The 22911-nt window shown below is 45.3% G+C and overlaps 1 pseudogene, besides 1 other annotated feature; it reads right to left on the reverse strand.

The window, feature by feature from the left end:
- POU5F1P2 (POU class 5 homeobox 1 pseudogene 2) lies at window positions 13079-14174 on the reverse strand (annotated as a pseudogene).
- Window positions 20284-20578: a silencer, noted in NCBI's record as "tiled region #12948; HepG2 Repressive non-DNase unmatched - State 3:PromF". NCBI's record gives its function as "represses a minimal TATA promoter and a strong SV40 promoter by Sharpr-MPRA in HepG2 cells {active_cell/tissue: HepG2}" and the evidence as "EXISTENCE:reporter gene assay evidence [ECO:0000049][PMID:27701403]".

A 22911-nucleotide genomic window follows, 5' to 3' on the forward strand; every position in this document is an offset into this window, starting at 1 on the left:
AATTGGTGCTGGCCTTGCAACAGATGTGTCCACCCAGAACCTGTGATTGTGACCTTATTTGGACAAAAGGTTTTTGCACGTATAATTAAGGTAAAGATCTCAAGATGAGATAATCCTGGATAAGAAAAGGGCCCTAAATCCAATGAGAAGTGTCCTGATAAGACAATAAATAGGGCTGGGTGTGGTGGCTCATGCTCATAATCCCAATGCTTTGGGAAGTTGAGGTGGGAGGATCACTTGAGCCCAGAGGTTGGAGAGCAGCCTGGGCAACATAGGGAGATCTCGTCTCTACAAATAAAAGTAAATTAGCCAGTCATGGTGGTGCACATGTGGAGTCCCAGCTACTAGGGAGGCTGAGGTGGACAGATCTGCTTGAGCCTGGGAGGTGGAGGTTGCAGTGAGCCATGATCGCACCACTGCACTCCAGCCTGGGCAACAGAGTGAAACCCTCAAAAAAAAAAAAAAAAAAAAGAAAGAAGAAAGAGAGAAAGAAAGAAAGAGAGAGAGAGAAAGGAAGGAGGGAAGGAAGGAAGGAAGGGGAAAGAGAGAAAGAGAAAGAAAAGAAATGGGGAGGAGAAGCAGATGTGATGACAGAGGCAGAGATTGGAGCGATGTGTTAACACACCAAGGAATGGCAACACCAGAGGCCAGGAAAGGGGCAAGCGAAGGACTCTCCCCCAAAGCCTCTAGGAGGAACCAATCCTGCTGACAACTTGGTTTCAGACTTTTGACCTCCAGAAGAGTGAGAAGTAAATTTCTGGTTGTTTTTTGGTTTGTTTGTTTGTTTGTTTTTTGAGACACAGTCTCACTCTGTTGCCCAGGCTGGAGTGCAGTAGCACGATCTCGGCTCACAGCAACCTCTGCCTCCCGGGTTCAAGCAATTCTCCTACCTCAGCCTCTCGAATAGCTGGGACTACAGGCGTACACCACCATGCCCAGGTAATTTTTGTATTTTTATTAGGGACAGGGTTTCACCATGTTGGCCAGGCAGGTCTCGAACTCCTGACCTCAAGTGATCCACCTGCCTTGGCCTCCCAAAGTGCTGGGATTACAGATGTGAGCCCCCACGCCCGGCCATTTTTTTTTTTTTTTTTGAGACGGAGTCTTGCTTTGTCACCTAGGCTGGAGCGCAGTGGCACGATCTTGGCTCACTACAAGCTCCGCCTCCTGGGTTCACACCATTCTCCTGTCTCAGCCTCCTGAGTAGCTGGGACTACAGGCGCCCGCCACCACACCCGGCTAATTTTTTCTATTTTTGTAGTAGAGACGGGGTTTCACCGTCTTAGCCAGGATGATCTCAATCTCCTGACCTCATGATCTGCCTGCCTTGTCCTCCCAAAGTGCTGGGATTACAGGCATGAGCCATCACGCCTGGCCAAATTTCTGTTTTTCTAAGCCACAAGTTTATGGTAATATTTTACAGCAGTGCTAAAAAACTCATGGTCTAAATATGGCTGTCACACCACAAACATCACATCCTCACACCATTGTATTCAAAGCAGAAAGAAACAGAGTTTGGACAATGAATTTTATTTTTTTATTAGCAGATCTTTACTCTCCTTACTTATTAGCCAGGATATGTGGCCACTTCTGGCTGCAAGGGAATATGGGAAAATTAATATCTGGCACAAAAGAGCAGCAGGAGTTTGAAAATGTGGGGAAACCATGTTAGTTATCAGCAATGGTGACCGTCATTTAACAGGTGGCAACTAGAGATCCTAGTGATACTGTTACGTGCAGGATATCCCCACACCATGCAAGCTGTTGAGGCACACTGGAGATCAACTATGAGTTATCCCTGTAGGCTTCTATCTGGCTGCCCTGTTAACAAAGAACAGGGAAGGAGGGGGCAGGAGGGTTGGCAAGACAGCCAGGCACCTTACAAGGACTGCCACACATGGACGTGACTCACTAGAATTCAGTAGGGAAATGAAGTTGTTCTACGGGACTGTGGCACACAAACTGACTGGGATTGTAACAGGTATTCTTGGCTTTTGTTGGTGTGTGGCCAGGTTCATTCATTCATTTATTCAGTGAACACAATTCAAATGGACTTAATTGGAAAAAGGTTCAATCACTAGTATACATAACCGAAAGTCCAATGGAAGATTTTCTGGAGCTTAGGGGGTCCAGTGCTGTCATCGAGACTTGGTCTCTCTCCATATCTGTCCCCTGGCTCTGCTTTCTGTGTGTTGGTTTCATTCAGTCTCCTCCCACTCAGAGGGAAAATGGCCATCAGACATTCCAGATTCACGTTCCAGTCTCTCAGGTATCCTGGCAAAAGAGCTTCTCTTCACAAGGGTCCAATAAACATCCCTGCACTAAGTCTAACTGGGTCATCTCAGGACAAGTACCCATTCCTGTGCCATCTCTGTGACTTGAGGGTAGATTACACGGTCTGTCAAGGTTTGGATAGAGCAGAGAGGAGGGTGTGTTGGAAGTGGGGACATGGGTTCAGCCACTCAAACCACGTGCACTCAGAGTAAGGAACAAATACCTGCTACACTCGCAATTTGTAAAATGAATGCCATTGTGGACAAGCATGAGATATGCGGGGTCAGTGCAAATTCATCATCACTCTTGGTGGTAGGGAGGACAACTTAGAGTGTAGGAAGGACCTTCTAATAGGGCAGGAGGTTATAGCATCCTCAAGATACACTGTAATAATTGACCCTCAGGAACAGAAAGCTGAGGAAACCACAGTGGGAAATTACATTCAATTAGCATCTGTAACACTTAACAATCTATAAGGCGGCCGGGCGCGGTGGCTCACGCCTGTAATCCCAGCACTTTGGGAGGCCGAGGCGGGTGGATCATGAGGTCAGGAGATCGAGACCATCCTGGCTAACAAGGTGAAACCCCGTCTCTACTAAAAATACAAAAAATTAGGCAGGCGCGGTGGCGGGCGCCTGTAGTCCCAGCTACTTGGGAGGCTGAGGCAGGAGAATGGCGTGAACCTGGGAAGCGGAGCTTGCAGTGAGCCGAGATTGCGCCACTGCAGTCCGCAGTCTGGCCTGGGCGACAGAGCGAGACTCCGTCTCAAAAAAAAAAAAAAAAAATCTATAAGGCATAATATTGGGCATTAATCAGGCTCTCTGGTTTCGTGTTGGATGTGCAACCCAAACATCAGAAGCCATCAAAGTGGCATTTCAATGTTGCTTCTGTCTATTTATCGATTTATTTATTTTGAGACAGAGTCTCACTCTGTCGCCCAGGCTGGAGTGCAGTGGCACAACCTTGGCTCACTGCAACCTCCACCTCCTGGATTCAAGCGATTCTCGTGGCTCAGCCTCCTGAGTAGCTAGGATTATAGGCACGCACCACCACGCCCGGCTAATTTTTTGTACTTTTAGTACAGATGGGTTTTCGCCATGTTGCCCAGGCTGGTCTCAAACTCCTGAGCTCAGGCAATCCACCCACTTCGGCCTCCCAAAATGCTAGGATTACAGGCGTGAGCCACCGTGCCCAGCACCTTTTCTATTTAATTACTATGAATGGTCATACACATTACACAGCTCCTTTGTGAAGAATGGTATGAGTTGTGAGTGTTTGGGAAGATTTTCAAGGCAATGCTTTTGGTTTACACTTCAGTAAGCATATTAGCCTATTGTTAAATACTTATTAACCTTATCAGAAGAAGAGGAAGAAGAAAAAGAAGAGGAAGAAGAACAATACAGTAGAGAGTAGCATGTTACCAAGCAACAGCTTTAATAACACTGTTGGTGGGGGTTTCAGAAAGACAATTGCTGAAATGATTTGATTCCATAAATGGAAATGGTCTTCTCTGTATGGTTTTATATTGTATGAGCATCTCACACCAAGATCCTAAACTATGGCTGTTGTATATCACCAGAGTATGACAAATATCCCTGCACTGTGTTAAACCAGTTCTTGGCACTGGCAAAGAGAGAGCTCTAGTTCACCATCTTAGTCCATTTTGCATTGCTATGAAGGAATACCTGAGACTGGGTAATTTTACAAAGAAAAAAAGGTTGATTTGGCCATGATTCTGCTGACTGGAAGACTGGGCATCTGGTGAAGGCCTCAGGCTTCTTCCACCCAAGGCAGAAGGTGACGGGGAGCTGGCACAGCGGAGCTCACATGGCGAGAGAGGAAGAGGCAGGAGAGAGCAGGGAGGCCAAGCGCGGTGGTTCCCGCTTGTAATTGCAACACTCTGGGAGGCAGAGGTGGGAGGATCACTTGAGGACAGGATTTAGAGACCAGTCCTGGCAAGGTAGCAAGATCCTGTCTCTACAGGAAAAAAAAAAAAAAAAGCAGGTGGGGAGGTGCCAGGCTCCCATTTTAGCAACCAGCTTTCATAGGAATGAACAGAGTGAGAACTCACTCACCCACTCTCCTCCAGGGATAGCATTCATCTATTCATGAGAAATTTGCCCCCATGACCCAAACACCTCCCATTAGGCCCTACCTCCAACATTGGAGATAAAATTTCAACATGAGGTTTGCAGAGACAAACATCCAAAACATAGCTGTGACGAGACTTTGATTCATTCTGAAGTTATTTCCCCAACAAAATTCTATCTTGCCCTTAAAGATGACCCTTCTATAAAGGGTTGAGAAACATGGAGAATTCCAACCTGGTATCCTAGGAATGGCATGGTGGTGGGAGCTGTCTTTTGTCCTTTGGAGGGCAAGGTTCACAACTTCAAGTTCTCTCCTTCTGGCTGCCTCCCCAGACATGCAATTCAATGCTGAGAACACGCTGCTTTTAGTTACTGCTTGCTTGATTGGTGAAAAATCAAGTGTATCTCAGACATACTTTCTGTCTCTAAGATTCTCTGAAATTTAGGGGCATGTAATTTGCCTAGAAATGTTCTAAAGGCTTCCGGATGTCAAAACATGGTAGTTGAGTGGGTGGGGCACCCAGGTGTTTGGAGAGCTGTGATCCTGCAAAGTACTTCCTAATGTTCTGCATTCTGATATGTCATGTATCTGCCTTTCAGTGCACATTGGTTATTTTATTTTTAATTTTTATTTTATTTTTAATTTTGAAATTAAAAATTAAAATGGGATCTATTGCCCAGGCTGGAATGCAGTGGCACGATCTCGGCTCACTACAACCTCCGCCTCCCGGGTTCAAGCAATTCTTTGCCTCAGCCTCCCGAGTAGCTGGGATTACATGTGCCCACCACCACACCTGGCTAATTTTTGTATTTTCAATAGAGACGAAGTTTCACCATGTTGGCCAGGCTGGTCTCTAACTCCTGACCTCAAGTGATCCACCGACCTCGGCCTCCCAAAGTGCTGGGATTACAGGCGTGAGCCACCTTGTCTGGCCCACGTTGGTTATTGAAAAGATATGTAGATCTGGCATGAAAATGTTTTAGAAGGCATCAAGAATCAAAGTTCTGTATAAGTAAATATAGTCTTCTGCTTGGATGTCCATAGTAGTAACAATAATTAACATATTCTGTTCCAGACACCCTGCTGGGCACTTCATATGCAGCATCTCACTTAACCCTCACACTATCTCAATGGGGTAATATTATTCCTGTTTTACAGATATGGGGAATGCAGCTAAAGAGGTCAAATAACTTGCTCAAGTTTACACAGTGACAACACTGGAATTTGAACCCAGCAAGACTGACTTGTCACTGCCATCCAATACTAATCCTCATCAGCATCAGGTTCGCAGGGTTGGAGCCCCTTTCTTGGAAGACCTTCTGTGGTAGGCTCTTCCCTAGTGGCCTCTTTAGGAACAATGCCTCTGACCCCTGGCCACTAGCTGAAGTTCTGGTCCAAAACAGATGAACACCCTCCCAATGATGTCCCAAGCATTGCCACTTCCTGGAAACTCATACTGCCATGTTCCACTCATCTGATTGGATTTCCGTGATGTGGATTCTTGCCTGGACTAGTAATCATACTAAGCTGTAACTACTTACCACTCAGTGTGAAAGCACATGAGGCATATTGCTACTGATCCTTACAAGAGTCTGCATGAAGAGAGTGTATCTCCCATTTTAGAAGTAGCTCAGAGGAGTGCAAATGATGGCCCAAAACCACACGGATAGAGCATAGCAAAGTTAGCATTCAAACTCAGGTCTGCTGACATCACAGCCCATATTCATTTCATTGTTTCTAAGTTTGCTAGTCCCCATGAAACACTCTCAGTTGAACCTCTGACCACTCCCCTTGGGGGCCAGCCTCAACCCCTGGTTAGTGGCCTAACCCTAGTCCCACCCACCACAGCTTCCTCTCCTTCCCCTCCTTCCCTCACCCTAGGCCTGCCAAGTCCACATCCCACCTTGGGATTGAGCTCGTCTGGGGTGTGAGCTTTATTAATCCAAAATGTTCAAAAAACTTTCCATAGACTATGACTCAGAATATGTTTAAGCCATCATCCTCAGCAAACTAACACAGGAACAGAAAACCAAACACCTCATGTTCTCACTCATAAGTGGGAGTTGAACAATGAGAACACATGGACACAGGGAGGGGAACAACATACACCGGGGCCTGTCCGGGGGTGGGGAGTCAAGGGGAGGGAGAGCATTAGGACAAATACCTGAGGCACGTGGGACTTAAAATCTAGATGACGGATTGATAGGTGCAGCAAACCACCATGGCACATGTATACCTTTGTAACAAACCTGCACGTTCTCCACATGTATCCAGGAACTTAAAGTAAAAAAATAAAACACAAAATTCAAGTATTAACTTCTGCTGTCTTTGTCATTTTCCTTTAATAGAGGTACATGGGCAATTTTAGCTCCTTGGTAGGGGGATGCTGAGAACTCTCAGGAGACAACTGTGTTATTCAGGACTCTAGGGTGAAAAGGACAGAGACTCAGCTCAACTAGCGTAAGAGGGAAAAAAGGAGAACCTATTAGCTTACACAGCTCAGAAGTGCAGAGCACAGCTGACTTCAGGCATGACCAGTTCCACAGCAGTGCTGGCTAATAGAAATATAAGGCAAGCCTCATATGTAGTTTGAAATTTTCTGGTAGTCACATTAAGAAAAGTAAAAAGAAATAGGTAAAGTTAATTTTAAAATATATTTTCTTTAATCTAATATATCCACAATATTATCATTTCAGTATGTAACCAATATAAAAATTATTAATGATATATTTTCATTCCTTTTTTTAAAATACTAAGTCTTTGAAACCCTGTGTGTATTATATACTTATGGCACATCTCAATTCAAACTAGGTACATTTCAAATACTCAAAAGCTGCATGAGGCTAGTGGCCACCATATTGGACAGTGCAGACCTAGAGACTGACGATGTCACCAAGCATCTTTCTCCCTCTCTCTCCAGACACTCTCCATTTGAAGCAAAATGGCCACCAGTAGCCCCAGATTAGTGCTTAACCACTTTGGAAATCTAAGTGAAATAATTAAAGGGGGAAAAAACCTCACAGGAACTGTTTTGATTGGCCCAGCCAATTATTTTCCAACAATTAAAGGGGGAAAAAATTAACGGGAACCAATTTTGATTGGTTCACGAGTGCCCATTCCTGAACCAATCACAATGGCCAGGGAAATAAGATACTCTGATTGGCTGGGCTTGGATCTTGCGGCTTGCATTAGCTGATGAAATCTAAACAGAAGTAACTTATGTGATTTCCACAAGTTACTTCTGTAACTTTTGTTACCTGCCTTTTAAGGGCGGCAGCATGCATCTCCAAGCTCTCTCTTCCCCTTCCACAGTGAAACTTGTGTTGATGTGAAGGTGCCACATATTCAGCCTAGATCGCTGAGCCAACTCTTGGAGAACAGGCGCCCTGGAAGGTCGTTTGAAATCACAGTGGACTTTTTGTAAGGGAGAAATAAACTTTTGTTGTATTAAGCTACTAAGATGTTCAGGTTGTTACTGAAGCATAACCTATTCAACCTAATTCAGGGATTCCTGTGATTCTAGGAGTTGCAGAATCCATGATGTGATAGAAGTAAGACCAATCAGAGTATTGCATCCCCTGGCCATAAGTAAATTCCCGTCCGAGGTGGTCATATGCCGTAAATAGGTCTAGTCAGAATTATTCTCAGGACTTTTGTTGAAAATTCTGGGAAACAGGTATTTTATTTTGCTTTGGATGGTGTGTTATTCAAATGAAATACCTGGATTATACACAACAATCTTGTTATCACATGAAAAGTCAGACTGAGGACAAATCCATTACATGGAGAAGGCAGTGCTAACAGTATTGCAGAAACATTGAACTGGAGTCCCAGATCATATCATGTCTGAAGCCTCATCTTCAGGCTTTGGGCTACTTATGTGAGCCTATAAACGCCCTTCATGTTTATACAAATTTGTGTTGGATTTTCTCTTGCCTGTAATCAAAAGCATCCTAACTGATATGAAACTTGATCACAAAGCACCCAGGGAAGAGGAGATTTAGAAACTTTCCAGCTAATGTGCTAAATGTTGACAGACGAGACACTTTTCAGAAGTGACCAGTAAAGACCGGCTGTTTTTACATCTCAAAATAGCCTATAAAAGATTCTTATCATTTCTTCACCTGTTGCTGGATAGGCACAGAGCCCTACGTGTAAGGCTGCTAAGCACAAAATCATAATCTTCCTAGCATTTTTTTTCTGCAAAAGGAGACTTCCTTGTTTCAAAGAGGAGATGGATAGAGTTACTGCTATGGAATCTCCACTGGCTTTAGAAATCCTCATGAGATCCATTCCCCAAACAGCCTCAGCCACACCCTTCTCTCATCTTCCTTTATGTTCCACCTAAAGCAGTGGTGTTTGCTATACACTGTGGTATAAAAAACCCCAACACTTAATGACTTAAAACAGAGGTTGGCAAACCTTTTCTGTAAAGGGCCAGCTAGTAAATATTTTAGGCTCCGTCTGCTGTTGATCATGAAAGCAGCCATAGACAATATGTAAACAAATGAATACAGCTGTGTTCCAGTAAAACTGTATTTACAAAAACAGGCAGTGAGCCAGAATATGCCTGCAGGCAGTATTTGCTGACCATAAGCTTAGCTTAAAACAACATACATTAAAAAAAAAAAAAATCTCTTCCAGTTTCTGTGGGTCAGGAATTTGGGAGTGCCTTGCTGGGTGGTTCTGGCTTGAGATCTCTCATGAATTGCAGTCAGAATTACTGAGAGCTCTCCACGTGATTCTAATATCCATCTGGGCTTAAAAACCCCTCTCTCTTCCGGGTGCGGTGGCTCACGCCTGTAATCCCAGCACTTTGGGAGGCCGAGGCGGGTGGATCACGAGGTCAGGAGATCGAGACCATCCTGGTTAACACGATGAAAACCCGTCTCTACTAAAAAAAATACAAAAAATTAGCCGGGCGTGGTGGCGGGCGCCTGTAGTCCCGGCTACTCGGGAGGCTGAGGCAGGAGAATGGCGTGAACCCGGGAGGCGGAGCTTGCAGTGAGCCGAGATCGTGCGACTGCACTCCAGCCTGGGCGAAAGAGCGAGACTCCGTCTCAAAAAAAAAAAAAAAAAAAAAAAAAAACCACTCTCTTAAAGGCTTTGCTGGATCACGTAGACCTAACAAACCCCCTGACCTGCTAAGGGTGTGCCTCACTGAGTATGTATCATAAAGAACAGAAACAACAGATCCTCACACCCAGGAAGTTAAGAATGTTGCCTTCTGGAGGAAGTGAAATCTTAACCAGCCATTTTATGGCAGGTGTAGCCAAAGAAGAGGGAAAACAACATGCTGTGTCCCCCACAGGAACCTGAACGAGGGTCCCAGGCTAACCATTGTTTAACTCTTGGTCACTCAGCCCATCTCTCCAGCTTACATCAGGGGTAAGCTGCTTCTCACTGTAAAGGTTTTTGTTCCAAGAACTCACTATCTGATAGGTGGATGGCTATTCTTGCAGCACATGGGATCCTGTGATCACTGATATATGCCTTCAGAGAGCAATCCCATGCCTGTCCCGTAGCCTATGGGGTAGCCTACACTCTTCTATGCTTTTCTGGGAAATATAAGAGGGAAAAAGAGCAGTAGGGGTATGTCATCCATGGCAAATCATGGAATTTGACTGTGCTTAAAAAAGGTAAACTCTGTAGGCTGGGCATGGTGGCTCATGCCTGTAATACCAGCACTTCAGGAGGCCGAGATGGGCAGATCACCTGAGGTCAGGAGTTTGAGACCAGCCTGGCCAACATGGTGAAACCCTGTCTCTACTAAAAATACAAAAATTAGCCAGGCGTGGTGGCAGGCGCCTGTAATCCCAGCTACTTGGGAGGCTGAGGACGGAGAATAGCTTGAACCTGGGAGGTGGAGGTTGCAGTGAGCCAAGATTGCGCCACGGCACTCCAGCCTGGGCGACAGAGCAAGACTCCGTTTCAAAAAAAAAAATGTATACTGCCCAGCACAGTATCTGACATAAATGTGATGCTCAACATTCAATAGTTGTGCGTTTCCTTCCCTCGTCTCCTCTCTCCTTTCCTATTTACCTCCCTCTCTCAGTTGCAATCTGCTGTTCTGCATGTACCTATGTGACTTTAAAATTTCTTTTCTTAAGCAGGCGTACACGACCCAACTTTGAACAGCACATGGAAAAGGCTTCAACACAATGTAGTTAATAATGTAACTTTACACCCCCATGTCCTCATCCACGGGACCAGATGGATGGAGAGCCACCGCCTCCTAAGGTTTGGCCTAATGCTTTAAACAGTGAATGTGTTAGCTTAGTACAGTTAAGTGCTGCATGACGATGTCTTGGTCAATGATAGACCATGTGTATGATGGTGGTTCCATAGCATTATCATGGAGTTAAAACATTCCTATCTCCTAGTGTCATCACAGCTGTTGTAATATCACCACAGCAATTACGTGTTTGTTGTGATGCTGGTGTAAATAAACTCACTTCGCTGCCAGTCACATACAAGAATAACATACAATGATGTACGGTACATAATACTTGACAATGATAAAAAATGACTGTGTTACCGGTTTATGTATTTAATATGCTATACTTTTTATCGTTAGAGTGTACTCCTTCTTCTACTCATATATATATTTAAAAGTTGACAGTAAAACAGCTTCAGGCAGGTGCTTCAGGAGGGATTCCAGAAGAAGGCTTTGTTATCAGAGATGATTGTTATCAGAGGAGGAGAAGGCATTGTTATCAGAGGAGATGGCAGCTCCATGCATGTTGTTGCCCATGAAGACCTTCCAGTGGGACAAAATTTGGAGGTGGATGACCATGATATTGATGATCCTGACCCCGTGTAAGCCTAAGCTAATGTGTATATTTGTGTGCTAGTTTTTAACAAAAATTTCCAAAAGTAAAATAAATAAATAAATAAATAGATAAAAGCTTATAGAATAAGGATATAAAGAAATAAAATATTTTTGTACAGTTATCCAATGTGTGTTTTAAACTGTTATTTTTAAAAGAGTCAAAAAATTTTTTTAAATTACAGTTTATAGGCTGGGCATGGTGGCTCATGCTTGTAATCCCAGCACTTGGGGATGCTAAGGTAGGCAGATCACCTGAGGTCAGGAGTTCAAGATCAGCCTGGCTAACATAGTGAAATCGTGTCTCTACTAAAAATACAAAAATTAGCTGGGCGTGGTGGTGTGTACCTGTATCCCAGCTACTTGGGAGGCTGAGGCAGGAGGATCACTTGAACGCGGGAGGTGGAGGTTGCAGTGAGCTGAGAACACACCACAGCACTCCAGCCTGGGCAACAGAGCGAGACTCTGTCTCATAAAAAAATAAATAAATTGTTGCAGCACTATTCACAATAGCAAAGACTTGGAACCAACCCAAATGCCCATCAATGTTAGACTGGATAAATAAAATGTGGCACCTATACACCATGGAATACTATGTAGCCATAAAAAAGGATGAGTTCATGTCCTTTGCAGGGACATGGATGAAGCTGGAAACCATCATTCTCAGCAAACTAACACAGGAACAGAAAACCAAACACTGCATGTTCTCACTCATAAGTGGGAATTGAACAATGAGAACATATGGGCACAGGGAGGGGAACATAACACACTGGGCCTTGTCGGGAGGTGGGGGGGCAAGGGGAGGGATAGCATTAGGAGAACTACCTAATGTAGATGACAGGTTGGTGGGTGCAGCAAACCACCATGGCACACGTATACCTATGTTACAAACCTGCACGTTCCACACATGTATCCCAGAACTTAAAGTATTAAAAAAAAAAATGGCTGGGCACCATGGCTCATGCCTGTAATCCCAGCACTTTGGGAGGCTGAGGCAGGCAGATCACTTGATGTCAGGAGTTCAAGACCAGCCTGCCCAACAGGTGAAACCCCATCTCTACTAAAAGTACAAAAAAATCAACCAGGTATGGTGGCGGGTGCCTGTAATCCCAGCTGCTTGGGAGGCTGAGGCGAGATAATTGCTTGTACCTGGGAGTCGGAGGTTGCATTGAGCCTAGATTGTGCCACTGCACCCCAGCCTGGGCAACAGAGTGGGACTCCATCTCAAAAAAAAAATTACAGTTTATAAAGTAAAAAAGTTATGGTAAGCTATGGTTAATTTTTATTGAAGAAAGAAAAATATTTTTAATATAAATTTAGTCTAGTCTAAGTGTACATGTTTATAAAGTTTGTGGTAGTGTTCAGGAATATCCTAGGCCTTCACATTCACTCACCACTCACTGACTCACACATAGCATCTTCCAGTCCTGCAAGCTCCTTTCAAGGTAAGTGCCCTATACTGGTGTACCATTTTATCTTTTATACTGTATTTTCACTGTATCTTTTCTACATTTAGCTATGTTTAGGTGCACAAATCCTTATCATGGTGTTACAATTGCCCACAGTATTCAGTACAGTCAATATGCTGTAGCTATGGATTTGTAGCCTAGGCACAGTAGGCTGTATCTAGGGTGTAGTAGGCTATACCACCTAGGTTTGTGTAAGTTCATTCTATGATGTTTACCCAGTGACAAAATTACCTAGCGACCCATTTCTCAGAACATATTTCCGTCATTAAGTGACACATTACTGTACAATGTTTCCCAAACAAAAAAATCATGTGGGAAGCTTGTTACATACCTAGATTCCTAGGCCCTACCCCAGGCCTATGGGATCAGACTACGTAGGGGAAGGGCCTGGGCATTAGAGAGAGAGAGAGAGTGTGTGTGTCTTTCTGTCCCAGGCTTCTTTATTTAAGACCAAAGTGATGTGTGATGTGAGGATTAAAATCAAGAGCATCATTGAACATGACCTTCCCACCAACTGGTTTCCCCAAAATCCCTGCCTCAATCCTTCGTGTTCTCAAATCCTTCTTTAGTAAATGAGGAACTTAATCCCAAAAGCCCTGCTACAAACTCCAGGGTTCTCCTTCCCTGGTTTCTCTCCTTTCTTGTCTCCATTCCTGGGAAGGGCAGGACCTCTGTCTGACTACATGGGAGAGCCCAGAGGGAACGGCTTCACCGTCAGGAAAGGGACCAGGGAGTACAGGTAGTGAAGTGAGGGCCCCCATAGCCTGGGATACCAAAATGGGGTTCTGCAGCCAGAGGAACAGACACTGGTCCCCTGAGAAAGGGGGCAACTTCAAAATCTCCTTGCTGTGAACACTCATGGATTGTTTGTCCTTCTGGCTCTGGTTACAGAACCACATTGGTCCACATCTTTCTCAAGCCCAAGCAGCTCGACCATGGGGCTAATCTGAGGCAGTGAGGGTTTCGGGCACTGCAGGAACAAGTTTTCAGGTTGCCTCCCACTCTGTTCTCAATAAGCATTTGCTTTCTATTTTGGTCTGCAGGAGGGTCTCTGTTTTGCACATCTCCTGAAGGTATTCATTGCCAGCTTCTGCCACTCCTGCAGCAGGGCCCACAGCTAACATGTGTTCTTGAAACTGTGCTGCGGAGCCTCAGAGCGGCAGAGGTCATTTGGCTGAACACTTTCCCAAAGAGAACCCCCCGGGGACCTCCAAATGGGTCTGGGAATATTCCAGGGTGATCCTCCTCTGCTTCAGGAGCTTGGCAAATTGCTCGAGGTCTGTCTGCAGAACTTCGATGTCCTGGGGCCCCTCAGGTTTTGCACCAGTTTCTCCTTGTCCAGCTTCACAGCCCCAGTGTGGGCAGTGCTGGGCTCCAGGGAGGGCCCCCGGGAGTTGCTCTCTACCTGGGCTCCTGCCCTGCCCTTGGGCTGAGAGGTCTCCAGGCCACCTCATCCCAACCTGACGTCCACAGCACACCACTCCACTGCAGAACTCCTACAACAGAGGGCACAGGACTTCCTTGTGGCATCTGAGGTTTTTGTTTTGTTTCTGAGACAAGGTCTCCCTCTGTCACCTGGGCTGGAGTGCAGTGTTGCCATCACAGCTCACTGAAGCCTCGACCTCCCGGGCTCAAACCATCCTCCCATCTCAGCCACCCCAGTATCTGGAACTACAGGCATATACCACCATGCTCGGCTAATTTATTTTTATTTTTTTGTAGAGACAGGGTCTCACTGTGTTGCCCAGGCTGGTCTCAGACTCCTGGGCTCAAATGATCCTCCCACCTTGGTCTCCCAAAGTGCTAGGATTACAGGCATGAGCCTCCAAGCCTGGCTGCATCTGAATTTTTAATACCTGTCCTGTGTGACTGCCATGTCTGGGACACTGGCTGGTGTAAAGAGCTTCAGACCAAGAGCTGCCATCCAGAAGCTCCTCACCTTGGTGAGAGCAGTTCCTGCCTCTGGGCCACAGTGGCCACATAAGTAAAATTTTTTTTTCAGTTGGAGTCTTGCTTTGTCACCCAGGCTGAAGTGCAGTGGCATGATCTCTGCTCATGGCAACCTCTGCCTCCCAGGTTCAAGCAATTCTCCTGCCTCAGCCTCCCGAGTAGCTGGGATTACAGGCACCAGCCATCATGCCTAGCTAATTTTTATATTTTTAATAGAAACAGAGTTTCACCATGTTGGCCAGGCTGGTCTTGACCTCCTGGCCTCAAGTGATCTTCCTGCCTTGGCCTCCTAAAATGCTGGGATTACAGGTGTTGTGGCCAGAGGACTGAGAATCTAATAAAATTGTAGCTCTTTCCTTCTCATATTTCCATCTACCCTTCTCCCCCAAACAAAACACACACATTTTGTTCACAATTTCAAGGAGTAACAGACTCCAAAATGTAATCCACACATCTCTAGGGGTTCATAGGTTCCAGGCTGAGACTGCCCCCTCCCCAGAGGTTCTTTATGTGTCTTCTTAGATTGATTGTATTATATTTGATTCCAGCTAAACGGGACCACATATGGCATATTATCTTTGATTAGTAACCATTCGTTTAAAATAATATTGGATGCCTTCCCTAATGGTTATTTCCAATGATTAGAGAAAATCATTAATTTCCACATACTTCATGTTCTAGGAACTGGGAAGACTGGGAATAATGAGGGATGAAGATGAACAAAACTCATCGGCCTGGCTCAGCCAGCTCACAGGGTAGGAGTGTGATACCCAGAAGAAGCTTCTGATGGAGCAAACTGGATCCTAGATTTCTGACACTAAGAATCCCAGGTATTGTGACAGGCAGAGGAGAGTAACAGGAGCATTTACTAGCTTTCTGATCTAGCACAGGGCTCTTCTAAAAATAGCTGGGCCACTGTGGAAGTCAAAGCCACATCAAAACTCTATTAAAGCTCACAAAACTCTCTGGCAGCCAAAGCCCTCCCTGAGAGGTCAGCAAGAAGTCAAGACATGGTGCCTATGTTTCCTTAGAACATTTTCTAGTGAGTGCCCTCCACGCCTACCATGTTGGGTGCAAAAGTTTGGTCTTTCCTGTGACACCGAGGTGGGTGAAAGAGCAGGGGAGGATCTTTCCAGCTCACTGCTCTCTCCGGAAAGAATGGGGTGGGCTGAACAACAAGATGACTGAGGATGGACAGGGCCCTCGGAGTCCAGCAAGGCTACCAGGGCCAGGATGCCCCCGAAGAGAATTGCCACTCTGGTCTTTATGCCAATAGACACCCTGAGTCTTTGATAATGACTGATTTTTCCAGTAGTTAAAGGAAAAAATATATATGTATATACTGGTAGAAATATATATATATCAGGGCTCAGCATGGTGGCTCATGCCTGTAATCCCAACAGTTTAGGAGGCTGAGGTGGGAGGATTGCTTGAGCCCAGGAGTTCAAGACCAGCTTGGGTAAAATGGCAAGATCCTGTCTCAAGCAAAAATAAAAATTAGCTGAGCATGGTAGCTCACGCCTGTGGTTCCAGCTATTTGGGAGTCTGAGGTGGGAGGATCACTGGAGCCCGTGAGGTCAAGGCTGCAGTGAGCCCTGAATGCACCATCATACTCCAGCCTGAGCGACAGAGTGAGACTTTGTCTCAAAAAATAAAATAAAATAATATATATCTATATATGTGTGAGTATATATATATACATCTGCATCAATTTAAGCTCACATCTTTTTCTGTTTCCTGTGAATGGACATTGTAGCCTGTCATCCATGTCTCCAGGAAGTACCTGAAGTGAGTTCTCATTTGTCTTCATTCTCTTCTCCTCCATAATAATCTGTTTCTCCAAGGCCTGGACATTTAAACCTCAAGCATTACTGTGACGAGATGCTGGTTTGGGCTGAACATAGAAAGACACTTTCAAAAATGCCCAAGTTATTTCCTTTTTTGCTTTTCTTTTTTTGGAATAAAATATACATAATTTTCCATGTTAATCATTTTAAGTGTACAATTCAGTGGCATTAAATACATTCGCGTTGTTATGCAACCATAACCACTATCCATTTCCAGATTTTTTTTAGCTTCCAAACTGAAACTCTGTATCTATTAAACAAAAACTTTTCATTCCCCCTCCCCCAGCCCCTGGCAACCACCATTCTACTTTTTGTCTCTATGAATTTGACTATTCTAGTTATGTCATATAAGTGGAATCACAGTATTTGCCCTTTTGTGACTGGTTTATTGCACTTAGCATAATGTTTTCATGGTTCATCCATGTTGTAGCATGTGTCAGAATTTCCTTTTTTGAAGCTAAATAATATTCCACTGTATGAACTATATATAGTAGACATGAAGTCTCACTTTGTTGCTCAGGCTGGTCTTGAACCCCTGAGCTCAAGCCATCCTCCCACCTCAGCCTCCCAAAGTGTTGAGATTATAGGTGTGCGCCACCACACTGGCCTCCACTGTATGCAGAGATGGCATTTTGTTTATCTGTTCATCAGGCATGGTCAGTTGGGTTGCCTCCACCTTTGGCCATTGTAAATAGTGCCGCTATGAACATGGCTTGTACAAATCACAGTTTGAGTCCCTGTTTTCAATTCTTTTGGGTAAATGTCCGGAAGTACATCAGGTTTGCTTTTTCAATTATGTAATGTTACCTCCACAGACAGTCTGCAGTGCATGCTCAGCTTTAGACCTCGCACCTTCTCTCCCAAAGGAGCTATAGCCAGTATATAAACACCAGCTGCACACAGCAAAGTGTGGCATGAGCATCTGAGTGGAATCAAGAAAGTACTGTGAGGATAACCGGGCATGGTGGCACATGTCTGTAGTCCCAGCTACTTGGGAGGCTGAGGCAGGAGAATCCCTTGAAGCCGGGAGGCAGAGGTTGCAGCGAGCCGAGATCGTGCCACTGCACTCCAGCCTGGGAGACAGAGCAAGACTCCATCTCAAAAAAAAAAAAAAAAAGTACTGTGAGGACACAGAGGGCATGCAGATTTCACGGCCAGTCTGTGAGGAGGGAGAGGACAGGGATTGTGCTCATTTACCCTGGGTACCTGGCATCTCGCCTGCACCTGGTGCAATCATCAAATTCATGATCGAATGAGTGAATGAAACATATTGTAGGGGGGATTTAAAAAGATTTTATCAAGGACACAGTATGTAAACAAGACCCTGAAGAATCTGTAGATGTAGGGAGGTTGAAAGGCATAGATGTGGGAGGAAGACATTCTAGGGGAAAGGTATTGCCTAAGCAAAGGTGTGGAGGCAGAAAAACCCAGCGCGTATTCAGCAAAGGAGGGGTCCGGTTCGTTAGAGCTGTGATTTAGACAATCCCTCTGAGGAATGCTTTGAAGGAGAGTAGCTGGAGGCAGGAAACACGGCAGTGGTAGAGACCTCTGGTTGTTCTTCATCATATGCTTTCCTCTTCCTCGATTGCATTGAGAGATGATGAAGACTATGATGATGGTGATGATGATGATGATGATGAAGATTATGATGATTGGGGGCGTTTATTTGATACATCTCTGAGTCAAGCACTGTGCTAAACTCTTTACACAGATTATATCATTTAATCTTCATTAATGAACCTACAAAGTGGTCGTCATATCACCATTTTACAAGTCAGGAGACTGAGTATTCCAGAAATCAGGAAGCTTGCCTGAAACCATGGGTGGCATCGAAGGGAGCCCAGGAAGTCCGATGGCAGAGCCCAGAGTCCAGAGCCCAAGGTATAGAATGACTTTCTCCACCCCCCAGGCCTTTCCAAACCAGTGCAATCAACGCCAGAGCTGTTTTTCCAAGGATACAACAAACCGTTTGAAACTTTCTAGAATTTGGAAAGCTTCACTTTTGTTCTTTTTTTCTTTTTCTTCTTTTCAGAAACTGCCCATTTTTTAAAAAGTATTAGAAAAACTCTTAAAAATAATTGAAACTGAGATCCTTGGAGACCCTTGCCCCAGGTACAGCAAAAATTTTTATCTAAATGTGATCAGCCCTTTGGGAGGCCAAGGTGGGAGGAGCAGCTGAGGTCAGGATTTTGAGACCAGCCTGCCCAACATGGCGAAACCCTGTCTCTACTAGAAATACAAAATCAGCCAGATGTGGTGGTGGGCACCTGTAAACCCAGCTACTCAGGAGCCTGAGGCAGGAGAATTGCTTGAACCGGGGAGGCGGAAGTTGCAATGAGCTGAGATCGCACCACTGCACTCTAGCCTGGGGGACACAGAAAGACTCCATCTCAAAAAAATAAAATAAGTAAAGAAATAAATGTATTTTGGACACAAGACTCCAGAATAAATATATTTTCCTCCAGACTAAAGTTTTTAAAAATCTGATTTTTTTCCTTTAAAATAGCTATTCTAGTTTTAATATGGAATTTAAATACTTGCTGGGAAAAATAGAGTCCTGATTTCACTGTGCCCTTTAGCAGGCTTCCTAATCCGGATTCTGAGTTAAAATTGTTTGGAGAGTAAGTAGGGTTAATTCCAAGAGCTCACTGAGTTTGAAAAGAGATATGAGATTCTGGAATGGTGGGAATTACGAAGTTACTTAGACTCACAGTTTGCCAGAAACCAGATGGAAAAATAAGGTGCAAGACGTCCAGGAAAGATCCCAAAAAGGCACATGCCAGTGCTGGCTGTCGACAATTAGAACATGGGAACTCCAGCTCGAGTGAGCTGTCCCGGCCAGGCAAAACATTTCACCTTGCTGGGTGCTGAAAACCAGCACATCCAGGAAGGCAGCAGGCTGGTGGCAAAACAGCTGTCCTGGAGGAAAGCGGGCAACCCCACCCAGAGAAAGCACTTCTCCCACTCCCAGCAACCCCACTCGTTCACCAGGGGGCACCGTCTCCTCCCTGCTCCAAAGCTGACACCCCAGGTGGTCACCGTGAAGCATGCAGATTCTCAGAGGCTGCATCTCACCAAGTTCTTCCCCGAAGGGTTTGAGGCCAGGGCAGTGTCTCTCCCAGGCTGAGGGGAAGACCTCCCATAACACAGTCATCTGAGATGCTCGTCAATGTGTGGGTTCCTCCTCCTCCTTCCAGACCTGCTGAATCAGAATCTCCACAAGGAGGGCTGAGGAATCAGCCTTTTAAACACGCTCTCCAGGGATTTCCATACAAACACAAGGGCAAGAACCACTAAACTATAAGCAACAGACCTCTTTCCTCTGGAAAGAAGAATGGCGTGCTGTCCCCTGTGGCCCGGGTTCTCTGACTGGTAAGTGGTCGGCAATGGCTGAATGAACAGATTAATGGATACCAGAAGCTACTTTGCCATCGTTTGGGATGGCGGTGGAGGGTTTCATAGAGGAAGGGGCTCCTGGAGGGCTGTGGCCTGCCTGGGTCAGGGCAAGGCCTGTGGGGCTCTTGCTTGGGGCTGGGTATCTGTGTCTGCCCCTTTCACCTCCCTTTGCCCTGCACTGTGGCTCAGCCACATCTGCACAGGCCCAGCTTTGGCCCAAAGCCCAGCAAGGCCACCCCGAAGTCAGACGCTTTTCTCTCCAACAAACTGCCAGACCAACCAAGCTTGGCCCTCAGGATTGGAATTCGCCACATTAGGAACCAGCCTCAGCATCGCAGACACCTCTGCTACCTTTTGCCAGGAGGGTGGTGCTGGGGCCAGCCCCACAACGGGCCATAGGAACTCTTGGCAGTTTCGCCCCAATTAAACCACACAAAGCTGCCATCCAGCCTTTTCAGGAGTAACGTTTGCCCTTCCTGGGCTGGCTGTAGTTTGTCAAAGCAAGGACAGCCTGTGGCTACACCCTCACACCCCCTGGCTTCCAGACTTGTAGGCCTTTCCTACTTCTCCCACAGTTTTACCTGACCCGCCCCCAGAACATTGACTTCAGAGCCTTCCAAGCTGATGAAGTTATCCAATGTGGCCCCGCTGCCTCACATTTGCAGAGATCAGTTTACTTTCAACACGCCTTCATTTCTGTTATCTCTATTATCTCATTTTCTTCTCCCAGCCGCCTTGCAGGAAAGGACAGGGTATTATTACCCCATCTGATGGTACAAAGAAGCAGAGCCAGGGCTCAAGGTCACATGCCTGAGTGGCAGAGCCAAACCCGGGACCAAAGTCTAAGCTGGCACCTTTGCTCAGACCTTGGACAGACCTGGGGGAAGGCAGCAGGCTACATGGCTTTCAAACTTGATTGTGTTTACCACTCACCCAGGAGTGCGTTTTTATAAAGCAGGTCCCCAGACACTCACCAGAGCATTCTGTAGATTTAGTGTGCCTGGGAATCTGCGTTTTAATAGGCACCTCTGATTGAAGTGAAGAGAACATTTTAACTTACTCCTGGAGATCTCACCCCTTTATGTGGTTTGCAAAAATGAGTAATTTTATTGCTGAGAAGTCCTTAGAAAGGAAAATTATACCTGAATCCCTCAGGCCCTAGACCTCAGCTGCACTGCGGCCCCCTTCAGAGTGATTAACCTGCTGAAAGGAAATAAATATGCCCTAAAACCCTAAGCTCACTGCCTGGCAGGTTGGTGATTCTCAACAAGCGTCTTCTGCTGGGCACTGTGGCTCACGCCTGTAATCACAGCACTTTGGGAGGCCGAGGCGGGCGGATCACGAGGTCAGGAGATCGAGACCATCCTGGCTAACACGGTGAAACCCTGTCTCTACTAAAAATACAAAAAATTAGCTGGGTGTGGTGGCAGGTGCCTGTAGTCCCAGCTACTCGGGAGGCTGAGGCAGGAGAATGGCGTGAACCTGGGAGGCAGAGCTTGCAGTGAGCCAAGATCATGCCACTGCACTCTATCTAGCCTGGGTGACAGAGTGAGACTGCATCTCAAAAAAACAAAAAAACAAACAAACAAAACAAGCATCTTCTTCTTTCATCTTTCTCTTCAATGCCAATAACCTTTGGCTGCATATTCTTATCCTAATTTTGAGTTTTGCCCCATTTTTGCTTTAGCTGTTTTTTAAAAACACTTTTAGTTCTCACAATTTTTTTCCCTGTCTTTTAAGCTCCTGGAGGCTTGACCTTTTCTTTCTCACACCAAAGTCTCCCTAGTCGAAAAATATCTTGGACCAATTAGTTTACTTCCACCTGCATTCCACTTGGATGGTGCCACTGTTCCACAGCCAAACCCTGACGCTAAATCCAGCCCTGTTGCCCACCCCACCAAGGTCATGTAGGCTATTTATATTCACTGTGTCCCCTGCCTTCATGCTTCCTGAGGTGGAGAAGGTGCAGAATGGTGCCTCCAAGCCTGTCCTGTCCCTCAGACCTATTCCTATGTAAGATACCCCCCAAGTGAGGTTGACAAGACAATAGTTATGGAAAATGAAGGAAAATCTAAGTTGGCTCTGACCATGTCACCTAAGCTCTCACAGATCTGGAGAGATGTCTGAGGTTTTAATAAAGTCATCTGCTATCAATTTCCTCCTTCAAGTGTAGTTCAGATGCGTTCCCAAAGAGCTTGTTATTAAGGCATTTCACTTAATGTTTCTGTTTTGTTCACTTCTAGTCTCTTAAAAATCTTTGCATACTTGCTTTCTAATTATAAAAATACATGTACATTTAGAAAATCTGGAAATCCTAGAAAAGTATACAATAGAAAACATCACTAATGATCCCTCCACCCAGAGTCCTTCTATTAACATTCTGCCATCTATTATAATTCCATTTTTTATATACACAGAATTTTTAAAGACATCTGGGGCCAGGCTTAGTGGCTCATGCCTGTAATTCCAGCACTTTGGGAGGCCGAGGCAGGTGGATCACCTAAGGTTAGGAGTCCAAGACCAGCCTGGCCAAACTGGTGAAACCCTGTCTCTACTAAAAATACAAAAATTAGCTGGGCATGGTGGCGCACGCCTGTAATCCCAGCTACTCAGGAGGCTGCAGTCCGAGAATTGCTTGAACTCAGGAAGCGGAGGTTGCAGTGAGCCATTGCCCTCCAGCCTGGGTGACACAGCGAGACTCCATCTGAAAATATATGTATCTGGGATCATACTATTTTAGAATTCGATTTTTAAAAATTTAGTATATCATGATTATTTCCTCAGGACATTATGTCTTCTAAAGCATGAATTCTATAGACTCCCATAGTACAGTATCATTTGGATGTGCCATCTGTGTCATACACTTAGTAATCTTCTGAGGGTTAGATACTGTAGTGGATATTTGTCATTCTTATAGGCAACTTTGTACACTTTGTATCTGAACCCTTTTCCTATGTTCGGAGACTCCCTCACCCAATGAAACAGAAATGAAGAAAGATGGCAGTAAGACTTCCTGGCTCCCTTGCAGCTAAAATGTGATCACAAGGCCTAGTAT

This window comes from Homo sapiens, chromosome 8, assembly GCF_000001405.40.
Source record: "Homo sapiens chromosome 8, GRCh38.p14 Primary Assembly".
In the NCBI taxonomy this organism is placed as follows: Eukaryota; Metazoa; Chordata; class Mammalia; order Primates; family Hominidae; genus Homo; species Homo sapiens.